We start from the raw sequence: 12,302 nt of genomic DNA on the forward strand, positions 1-12,302 counted from the left end.
TCAAATTTAATGGACATCTTATACCTACTCCTGCAACCTTAATTATAAAAAATAGAAAATAGAGTGTGTTGTATATAGCCATTGTTTTATGAAAATATTTTAGATTTGTGTGTATATACATACTGGATGACAGTATGCAACAGGCTTTTTTCTGGTGGTCAGTAAGAACATTTTGAAAGCCACTGCTATCCTAGGGGTCATCTTACAGAGAAATCTTTATATGGCTATGGATAAAAGTTAAAGGTTGTTGGTCTCATGTTTATGAACTAGAAACCTAGGTTGTGGTTGGATAATTTACTGTTCTTCCTTATATGTTGTTCTTCAGCAGGCAATTTATCTTCCTTAGCTAGTTCTAGAGAATATAGAGGACCAAAATTTGTCTCCTTCTCTAATCACCACCAGTAGAGTCTTGGTTTAGGGGTTTTGGTGAAAAGAGAAAGTCTTGCTACAACAGTGCGAATAACTGAATCATTTATGTCTTATCACACCTAACACTTTTACATTTTTAGAAGAATACTCTTCTTAAATAGGGCTTTCATTTTGGAATAAGGTTGCTTGAAAGACAAGCTCCAGAGTTTATCACATTTAGTAGCCACTTATTTTTTTTACTAACTCAACAGAGGATATAGCCATATACTTATTCTCACTAAGTGCATTTTACTTAAGGTAGAAGTATGAAGATATAAATTAATCTGAATGGTTCAGTTGTATTCATATCCATAATAGCATAACCAGAACAATGAGGCATCTTTCCTGGTATTAGTGTAGGTTATAACTCATTCAGTTTTAATATGGCTGATAATAAAAGTTAGTTCATGAAATATTTAAAGATGTATATAATTGACATTCTTTCCTCCCTTTTTTCAATAGCAACTTTTTAACTGTCAGTCTTTACACAAACTGAGTTTGCCAGACAATGATTTAACAACGTTACCAGCATCCATTGCAAACCTTATTAATCTCAGGGAACTGGATGTCAGCAAGAATGGTAAGGCTTTTTTTGCCCATAATTTTTTGTACTTGGGAACATGTTTCATTACTAAGATTTCTATTGAGTTTTCAAAAATAAAAATATAAAAATAAGTTAAATCTAATGTATTAATATGAACTTCATCTAAGAATGTTTTATGTAAAGATAGTTGCCCGACTTTACAAGTTTTGCCACCTGTTTTGTATCAAATACAGTAAAATTAAATGTTATAGCCTTGGCTTAGAATTTGTTTAATATGTGTATGTAAAATCTGTGATAGCTTAAAGCACATGGAGAATAAATGTAAGGGATTTTTTTGTTGTTGTTTTTACATTTTTAATTGCGGTCATCATGTTGCAGGATAGATCTCTTGTGCTTATTTCTCCTGTCAAACTGAAATCTTATACCCTTTGAACAACATATTCCAATCCTCCATCCCTGCTTCCCCATCCCCAGCCCCTGGTAACCACCATGCTACTCTGCCTCTGCCTCAGCAAGATTCCATATGTAAGTGAGCTTATGTGGTATTTTTTTTTTTTTTTTCTGTTCCTGGCTTGTTTTACTTAACATAATATCCTCCAGGTTTATCCATGTTATTGCAAATTAACAGGGTTTTCTTCTTTTTAAAGGCTGAATAGTATTCCATTGTGTATATCATATTTTCTTCATTCATTCATCCGTTGATGGACACTTAGGTTGGTTCCTTATCTTGGCTATTGTGAATAGTGCTGTAATGAACATGGGAGTGTAAATATTTCTTCAGCATACTGATTTCATTCACTTTGATACATATCCAGTAGTGGGATTGCTGGATCTTGTGGTAGTTCTGATTTTTTGAGGACTCTCCATACTGTTTTCCATAGCAGCTATACTAATTTACATCCCCACCAACAGTGTGCAAGCATTCCCTTTTCTCGACACCCTCATCAGCACTTATCTTTAGTCTTTTTACTCATTCTAGCAGGTGTGAGGTTGTATCTCACTGTAGATTTAATTTGCATTTCTCTGGTGATTAATGATGTTGAACATTTTTCATATACCTGTTGGTGATTTGTGTGTGTTTTGTTGAGAACTATCTATTCAGGTCATTTGCTGATTTTTATGTCAGATTACTTGTTTTCTTGTTATTGAGGTTTTTTAGTTTCTTACATATTTTGAATGCTAACCCCTTCTCAGATGTATAGCTTGCAAACATTTTCTCCCACTCCATAATCTGTTTCTTCACTCTGTTGTTTCTTTGGCTGTACAGCTGCTGTTTTGTGTGGTGTGATCCCGTTTGTCTGTTTTTGCTTTTTTTGCCTGTGCTTTTGGGGTCATATTAAGAAAAATCATTGTTATAGCCATTGCCAGGCTCCAGAATGTCATGGAGCTTTTCTCCTATTTTTTTTTTCCTAGTAGTTTTTTTTTTTTTTTTTTTTTAACAGTTTTGGGTGTTATAGTTAAGTCTTTAATCCATTTTGAGTTGATTTTTTAAATGGTGTAAGATAAGGGTTTAATTTCATTCTTCTGCATGTGGATGTCCAGTTGTCCCAACACCATTTATTGAAGAGACTGTCCTTTACCCATTGTGTGTTCTTGGCACCTTTGTCAAAAAATAATTGACAAAATACGTGGATTTATTTTTGGGCTGTCTATTCTGTTCCATTGGTCTGTCTGTATTCATGTCATTACCATGCTGCTTTGATTACGATTGCTTTGTAGCATATTGTGAAGTCGGGTGTGATGCCTGCCGTTTAGTTCTTTTTGTTCACCGTTGCTTTGGGTATTCAGTCTTTTGTGGCTCCATATGAATCATAGGATTTTTCTTTTTCTATGAAAAATGTCACTGGAATTTTGGTAGGGATTGGGTTGAATCTGTAGACCACTTTGGGTAGTATGGACGTTTTAACAATATTGATTTTGAAGTCCGTGAACACAGGATTTCTTTCCATTTATTGTGCTGCTTCAATTTTTTTCATCAAATGTTCTATAGTTTTCAGTGTATATGTCTTTTACCTCTTTAGTTAAATTTATTTCTAAGTATTTTATTTTTTTGGTAGCTATTATAAATGGGATTGTTTTCTTAATAACCTTTTCATATAGTTTGTTGTTAATATGTAAAAATGCTACTGATTTTTGTATGTTGATTTTTGTATCCTGCAATTTTACTGAATTTATTCTAACAGTATTTTGGTTGGAGTCTTTAGGGTTTTCTATATATAAGGTTATGTTGTCTGCAAATAGGGACACTTCAATTTCTCCTATTCTAATTTGGAATCCTTTTATTTCTTTCTCTGGGTAGGACTTAAGTACAACGTTGAAAAGAAGTGGCAGGAATAGGCATCCTTGCCTTATCCCAGATCTTAAAGGAAAAGCTTTCAACTTTTCATTGTTAAGTATGATGTGAGCTGTGGGTTTGTCACATATGGCCTTTATTGTGTTGAGGTGCTTTCCGTCTATACCTGATGTGTTGAGAGTTTATTATGAAAGGACGTTGAATTTTGTCAAATGCTTTTTCTGCATCCATTGAGAGATTTTTTTCCTTTGTTTTGTTGATGTGATATATCACTTTTATATATATGTTGAAATTATTAAGGCCAGGTAGTCTTGTTTAGTATGTTTAGTTTGATATTCATTAAGTATGGAAGATACGTTCTAAAATGTTAAGTCCTTACCTCAGAAGGAGAGAGAAATCAGCCCTTGAAATTTTTAGAATGAGTGTGTATTTCTTTTATAATTACAAAAAAGAAAGAATCACATGAGGATAAATTTTAAATGGTCTGACCAAATATAGGACTTTCACTAAACGCTAAATACTGTCATGTAATACTTCTTAATAAGAATTGGGGAAAAAACTTTATAAACAAGTCCCACCAAGTTAGTGCAGCAGTGCCAGCAAATATGTAGTAATCATATTCCACAGCTCTTAGCTTCAAAGTCATTCTTTGTCCTAATGATATGAGTATCCAGAAGTAATCCTTCTCCTATCAGTTTTCCTAAATTTTAGGACTTACTATGAAGCATTTTAGGGCTTATTAGAATTCATCCTGTTTTCACAATTAACAGTTAACTTTGGAAAGCTAATTAACCAGGTGTCTGTCTACACACACACACACACACACAAAGTTATGTTGGCTCACGCCTGTAATCTCAGCACTTTGGGACGCTGAGGTGGGTAGATCACTTGAGGTCAGGAGTTCAAGACCAGCCTGGCCAACGTGGTGAACCCTGTCTGTACTAAAAATACAAAAATTAGCCAGGCGTGGTGGCACGTGCCTGTAGTCCCAGCTAGTCAGGAGGCTGAGGCATGAGAATCACTTGAACCCCAGGAGATGGAGGTTACAGTGAGCCAAGATAGCACCACTGTACTCTAGCTTGGGCGACACAGCAAGACTCTCAAAAAAAAATATATATATATAGATATATATATATATTTATATATCTCCACTTATTAAATTCTGTTTATTTTAGTTGCAGGTCATTGAAATGTATGTTTTATAGGATTATGATCAAATCAGGACTTCTGTTTTAAGGATTTATTATTTGCTTATGTTCATCCTAGGTTAAGGTGAAGGTTTTAGTGGTTAGTGCCGTACTGACGTTCAGTTCACAATAACTAATAAATTTTAGCTTTAAAGATAGTACTGTATTTTATTTTACCTTTTGTTATTGAGCTGTTTAACTTTAGAGCTATTTATATTTTGAATAAATTTATTATTTAATTTTTATTTAGATTGGATTCATGCATAGTGATGTCCTGCTTTTTATCTAGCTATCTTAAAAATTTTTGGCCAGGCCCAGTGGCTCACACCTGTAATCCCAGCACTTTGGGAGGTCGAGGTGGAAGGATCCCTTGAGCTCAGGAGTTTGAGATCAGCCTGGGCGACATAGCAAAACCTTGTTTCTACAAAAAATCATAAACTTAGCTGCACATGGTGGCATGTGCCTGTGGTTCCGACTACTTCAGGCTGTTGTGGGAGGATTGCTTGAGCCTGGGAAGTCAAGGCTGCGGTAAGCCGTGATCATGCCATGGCACTCCAGCCTGGAAAATAGAGCAAGACCCTGTCTCAAAAAAAAAAAAAAAAAAAAAAAAATTATGCCCAAATAAGAAACATGTGTAAAAGGTAAAAGAACACACATGGCTCCACCAGTTGTTAGCATTTTGTTACATTTGTCTTACTTTTCTTTTTCATGTATGTGAATTTAAATATGTTCAGGAAAAAGATATATGCATATCATTGCTTATATAAAATGTCTTTTTGGCTGTGCGTGGTGGCTCACCCCTGTAATCCCAGCATTGTGGGAGGCCAAGGTGAGCAGATTACCTGAGGTCAGGAGTTTGTGACCAGCCTGGCGAATGTGGACCCCGTCTCTACTAAAAATGCAAAAAATAAGCCAGGCTTGGTGGTGGACGCCTATAATCCCAGCTACTCGGGAGTCTGAGGCAGGAGAATTGCTTGAGCTCGGGAGGCAGAGGTGGCAGTGAGCCGAGATTGTGCCATTGCACTCCAGCGACAAGAATGAGACTCCATCTCAAATGAATAAATAAATAAAAACAAAAGTCTTTTTGCTAAGCTTATTTAAATTTAAGTTGGAGGCATCATGTCTTCACTCCTAAATGTTTAAATATGCATCCCCTAAGAACAGGGGAATCGGAATAACCACAACATCATTATCACTCTTGAGAAATTTAACATCACAATTCCCCTGTTGCCTAATAATGCTCTTTTAAACTCTTTAGGCCCCTTCTGCATATCCCTCCTTACAAGTTAAAGATCATGTACAGCATTTAGTTGTTGTGTCTCTGGTCCTTTTAAATCAGGAACAGTTTGCTCATGATTTTCATGACAATTTCCATTTTTGAAGTGTTTAGATCAGTTGGCTTTTGATTTGTGTGACTATTCCTCTCATTATTTTATTCAGGCTAAATGTCTGCCGTTTCAGACTTTTCCTTGAGGGCAGTGTGAAATTTGTGTTTCCATCCCTAGTACTTAGTATTAGTGCTTGGTGGTGCCTGATACATTCCAAAGTAAATGAATTTGATTACCATCAGATCTCTATGGATGTTGACACATAATCCAGAGTATTATAGAATTCTAGAATTATTGTCACTTTAGTTGTCATCATATCTACCTTTTCATCCTAAAGGAGTATCTCTACATATGTTGACAGATAAATTAATCCAGAGTATTATAGAATTCTAGAATTATTGTCACTTTAGAAGTCATCACATCTACCTTTTCATCCTAAAGGAGTATCTTTCTGATCTTTTTAAATGGGAGTTGTTAAGGTATAAGGAAAGGGACTCAAGATAATTTGGGTATTGATTAAAAATCGTATACATCTGAAATTGTATGTATTGGGTAAACTTTGCTATCAGTCTTTATGGTATAGAAGTATTGCTTGGCTCAGTAATGAAAATAACTTGCATATATGCTTCATGAAAATGGATTAACCTCATGTTTATTACTCTAAAATGAGAATGGTGGAATTATGGCTATGTTCTAACCCTACAGCATCATTAAATTAATATCCTAGGCTTTTGTATAACTATTTAAAGAATTACATGTTGTAGAGTTAGGCAACCTATTAGACTGCAGAGTAGCTCTTTTACCTTTCTAGTTTAGCATTTTGTTGTTGCTTCTACTATATTGAAAACTTTTAAACAATTATTTCAACCTGTGAATGTTTTTGAGGCGTTGGAGATAATCTTTATGTGATCAAAAGATTTAGGAAAAGTACTTAACTGTTCTTCCTCAAGGAGGAATGACGTTACTTATTGCTGCCAATAAGTCTTAGTTTATTTGACTAAAAATTAAATTGGTCTGTTCTTGTTATATGATTCCTCACATAGAAGGGACCACATCTATTCTTTAACTTGCAGAATTGGTTTTTTTGCATTTTACTTGTTACTTGTATTTTCTCTCCTTTTAGTCTTGAATTGATGTCTAAGTGAAACTTCACTTCATTGTTCATAACAAGGCTAGCTGAAAGGAGACAAGAGACTATGATAGTGTCAGAAGTTACCTTGCCAAGTAAAAATTCTAGTTATTTTAATTCCTCATCTTATATTCTTCATAAGTGGTGTATTTAACCCATTTTACCTTAAGAGAGCTGAGATAATTTTAATCAACCTGTAGTATTCAACCCTAATATGTATGTTTGTATAGGTCTATTGTGTTGAAAAAAAATTAATAAAGCACACATATTAGGTTGCATATTAGGTCGATGTGGCTGGATGTTAGAAATTTGAATTTTGTTGCATTTTTGATTTGATAATAGACTGCTTAAAAGAAAGGTTAGTACATTTAAGCAAATGTAATATTTTGAAATTATTAAAATGTAATTTCATGAAATTATTAAAATTTAATAATATAAGCTATTACTGTTTCGCTTATATTTAAGCTCTAGTGTTTTCTCCTTTTAGGTTTTTATATCATTTCAGTCTAATATTTAAGTTTATCATAATATGCTAGGTACAGTTTTCAGATTCATTAGCTGTTGTGCACTGTTTGGAAGGAGGCAGGAAATTTGTGGCATACTTTGTTATTCATCATATCATCAAGCTGTATTTCTTTAAAAGCACTTGCTTTTAGGATTTTGGCTTTTAGGCTGTGATAGTTTCTGATTTTTTATGTAGTTCTTATCAGTGTTTTTCATTTGGTAAGTTAGCATGGTTTAGGAATAAAAAGAAATGGCCTCTATTCTTTGCTTCTCTGTTTATTGGTCTGGTTATTAAACTGGGGACTTAATCTAAATTTGTTAGTTCATCTGTAAGATTGTTAAACACATGAAATGGATCAGTCTAGGAAGTATATAATTCTAAGGGATTTAATATTTGTATTTATCAAGAAATTCAGTTTTTTCTTTTACAGTCTATGATAAAACTGGAATGTTAATTTGTTCTGGGTCTTAATTTGCTCTTCTCTTTCTTTTCTCGAGTTTTGGTTTACTGTATGTATGCTTTTTATTTTATTTTATTTTATTTTACTTTAAGTTCTGGGATACATGTGCTGAACGTGCAGGTTTATTACATAGGTATACACGTGCCATGGTGGTTTGCTGCACCTATCAACCCGTCATCTAGGTTTTAAGCTTCACATGCATTAGGTGTTTGTCCTAATGCTATCCCTCCACTTTCCCCTCACTCCCCATCAGGCCCCAGTGTGTGATGTTCCCCTCCCTGCGTCCATGTATTCTGATTGTTCAACTCCCACTTATGAGCAAGAACATGCGGCGTTTGATTTTCTGTTCCTGTGTTAGTTTGCTGAGGATGATGGTTTCCAGCTTTATCCATGTCCCGGTAAAGGACATGAACCCATTCTTTTTTATGGCTGCATAATATTCCATGGTGTATTATGTGCCACATTTTCTTTATCCAATCTGTCATTGATGGGCATTTGAGTTGGTTCTAAGTTTTTGCTATTATAAATAGTGCTGCAATAAACATAATGTGTGCATGTACACTTTTTAAAGTTATAAAAAGTTCTCTAAGCTGCTATCCCAAGCCATTGCAAATAGCAACCAGTATTAGAGAAATGATCTGCTGTTGCAATCAAATGGCTTTTCTTGTAGGGAAGACTGAGAAGATGTGATTAAAACATTCTGTCAAAGTGGTTGATGGGGAAAGCTGGTGGGGAGGGGAGATAAAAGAAAAACCGTGTAGCTATTAATTCTCTTATATGAACATAATGAATAAAATGCCAGGGATTACAAGGCAGAGAAACCAGAAAGAGTAGCTCAGATCCTTCTGTCTAATATGGCAATACTAGCGAGGTTAACCAAGGTATTTCTTTTTAGTTGAGTCAAAAAGCCCAGGAAGAGTGAATTGAAAGTTTGTGGTCAAAGCAGAAAGCAGTTCTTTTAACTTGAGAAAATCTGATGACTGGGGACAAACTAGTGGAAAAGCCTTTTCACATTAAACTAAAAGAAGTTAAATTGATTAAGAGGATATTACAGATTGATGGGGAAGTTATGGTATGTTGCTCTTGTGTTTTAAATTTCTAAAATTGCCATTTTGCTTTGTAGTTGACGTTTTGAGCCCAGCTGTTTTAATAAATCACTTTATTTAAGATAATGAAAGAAGGAAAACCATGTTTTACACTGTCCATGTTTAGACTGGTGATTTCTGGCCACTGCCAAGTGTTTTGATAAATGTAGACTGTTAACTGGAGTGTGCACTCATTTGTGCCCTACCATAGCGTAGGCATTATTATTTGTTGTGTTATATCTGGTCCAAATCATACATGTGTTATCCTCTGGAAGCTATCATCATTTGAGTTTGCAATTTCCGGTTAGTTTTGACCAGAACTCGAATGTTTTATTCTGTAGTATGGTAATCATTGCCTTTGGAGTGCAGGAACAGTAAGGGACTCCTGTTGACTTAAATTCAACAACTGGGACAGTGGGATGTTGACACCTGCCTGGCAGAGACCACCAGGGACTCACCTGCAGTTAAACAGTTTGTGTTTATTACTTCATGGTGAGCAAAAACTCATATTATTGGGATTCATGAGGGTCGCAGAAGGTGTAAAAAAAAAATACAGGATTTGGGCTTTTGCTTGGTGATTGGGAAGGTTTCAGAAAATAACGGTTTGCCGTGGATGGGATGCTGTCAAGAAGTGGGGTAATTCTATGATTGGGTATCTTAATGTTATCTATAGAGAAGTTGATTAGAGTAGAACTAAAGCTGTAATCAGTAAACAATACATCAGTCACTTATTATCTGGGAAAAGGTGCTGTTTGGTATTTTTTGGCTTGGACAATATCATGTTTTGTCTTTTTTCAGACATGATTATAAATGTGTTTTTGTCTTGATATATCATGGTTACAGAATGGATTGGTGTGATATTGATGTTCTGTGAAATAGTTTTGTTCAGCAGGAGAACACTGAGGCCTCCATCTGAATGCCAGGGCTTGTTTGTATTAAGACCAAGGACTAGTGATAGTACCAGGCCAGCTCCTAGGTGTCAGAAGGGGTTTTCTCTTTCTCAGAAGTAAAGAGAGAGAGTTCTTCTGTAACTGAGAGTGATTTGAAGAAGACATTTGTGTTTTGTGATATCTAATCTAGAGCTTCATTTCACATTGGAGCAGCAGTCTTTTTTTTTTTTTTTTTTTTTTTTTATAAGAGGCGGTGTCTTGCTCTGTTTGTTTCCCAGGCTGGAGTACAGTGGCATGATCATAGCTCACTGCATCCCGAACTCTTGGACTCAAGGGAGGCTTCCCCCTCATCCTCCTGAGTAGCTGGGACTACAGGTGTGCACCACCATGCTCGGCTATTTTTTTTTTTTTTTTTTTTAAGAGATGGGGTTTTGCCATGTTGCCCAGGCTGGTCTTGAACTCCTTGTCCTCAAACAGTACTCCGAATACCTTGGCCTCCCAAAGTAGTGGGAATACAGGCGTGAGCCACCATGCCTGGCCAGCAGAATTTTGTTACTAAAGAAGTATACGTCAAAGAAGAAGCATTATTTATTGAAGTCGTGATAATTAGAAAAGAACAGATAGTTGACAGAGAATTAAGAAGTAAATTGTGATAAAATTCAGTCTGTGTGTGCGTGTGTGTGTGCGCGCGCGTGCGTGTGTGTATGTGTGAGTTGAGACAGAATCTCCGTCACCCAGGCTGCAGTACAGTGGTGCGATCTCAGCGTACTGCAGTCTCCACCTCCCAGGTTCAAGCAATTCTTGTACCTCAGCCTCCCAAGTAGCTGAGACTACAGGTGCAGGCCACCATATCTGGCTAATTTTTTTTGGTATTTTCAGTTTACACGGGTTTTCGCCATGTTGGCCAGGCTGGCCTCGAAATTGTGACCTCAAATGATCTGCCCACCTCAGCCTTCCAAAGTGCTGGTATTACATGCGTGAGCCACTGCACCCTGCCCCTGTGTACTTTATCTGTAAGGATAAAATGAGCCATCTTTGGAGAGTAGGTAACACAGTTGTTGAGGGTAGGCCTTGAGCAAAAACTTGAAGCCATGTGAATAACTAAGGTAAGGATGTACCAGAAGCTATTTTGTAAGGTGTGAGCGTCTATAGCATGTGTGAGGACTGTTCCCGGGGTAACTAAAACAGTGTGAGCAAGATGGGAGTGCAATAGGAATAGAAGCCAGGGAGGTGGGGATTTACAGGAGCAGCTAATGAAGAGCCTTGGAGGCATTTGTATGCACTTTGACATTTACCGTCAGTAGAATAGAGTCACTTGGAAAGTTTTGAATAGATAATTCAGAGCATGATGTGACTTGTGTTTAAGTTTAATCTGTCTATATATATATATAGACAGGAACTGTGGGCATGTGGGTGAAAAACAACCAGTTCAAATGCTGTTTCAGTCATCTGAGGTGATAGTGATGGACATAGTGAGATGAGGACAGCCCCTGGATATGCTTGAAGGTGGAATCAATAGCAGTATATGACGGATCGGATGTGGGATGTGAGAGAAGAGTCAAGGATGCCCTCAGTGATTTTGGTCATGCCCTTGGAAGGACAGAGTTGCCATCAGTTGAGATGTGGAAATCTGTGGGAGTTGTAATTTTTAATAGAAAAAATCAGGAGCTCAGTTTTTTTGAGATCTAGTTGTTCATAGGGGTCTGGAGTTTAGTAAAGAGAAAAACTGTGCTAGAGATAAATATTTGGGAGTTGTCACCATATGGATATTTAAAGCCTGAGATTAGATGCATTCGCCAAGGGCATGATTGTCAATAAAAAGAAGGCTAAAGAATGAGCCCTGGTTGGGCAATCAGGAGAAGGAAATAAAGGGTATTCAGTTAGGAAAAGAGGAAGTCAAATTGTCCCTGTTTGCAGATGACATGATTGTATATCTGGAAGACCCCATCGTCTCAGCCCAAAATCTCCTTAAGCTGATAAGCAACTTCAGCAAAGTCTCAGGATACAAAATCAATGTGCAAAAATCACAGGCATTCTTATACACCAGTAACAGACAAACAGCCAAATCATGAGTGAACTCCCATTCACAATTGCTTCAAAGGGAATAAAATACCTAGGAATCCAACTTACAAGGGACGTGAAGGACCTCTTCAAGGAGAACTACAAACCACTACTCAATGAAATAAAAGAGCATACAAACAAATGGAAGAACATTCCATGCTCATGGGTAGGAAGAATCAATATCGTGAAAATGGCCATACTGCCCAAGGTAATTTATAGATTCAATACCATCCCCATCAAGCTACCAATGACTTTCTTCACAGAATTGCAAAAAAAACTAAAGTTCATATGGAACCAAAAAAGAGCCCGCATCGCCAAGTCAATCCTAAGAGAAAAGAACAAAGCTGGAGGCATCACGCTACCTGACTTCAAACTACACTACAAGGCTACAGTAACTAAAACAGCATAGTAC

General features: G+C 36.4%; 1 protein-coding gene across 18 annotated transcripts in view; it reads left to right on the forward strand.

Moving 5' to 3' along the window:
• ERBIN (erbb2 interacting protein) overlaps positions 1-12,302 on the forward strand; it is a 155,972-nt gene that overhangs the window by 67,302 nt on the left and 76,368 nt on the right. For all 18 annotated transcript variants that reach the window (XM_047417376.1, XM_047417378.1, XM_047417380.1 and 15 more), the window contains one exon: positions 871-988. In XM_047417376.1, the coding sequence (XP_047273332.1) occupies positions 871-988 (118 nt within the window). The remainder of the gene's footprint in view (positions 1-870; positions 989-12,302) is intronic.

The sequence above is a fragment of the Homo sapiens genome, chromosome 5, assembly GCF_000001405.40.
Source record: "Homo sapiens chromosome 5, GRCh38.p14 Primary Assembly".
Lineage (NCBI taxonomy): Eukaryota > Metazoa > Chordata > Mammalia > Primates > Hominidae > Homo > Homo sapiens.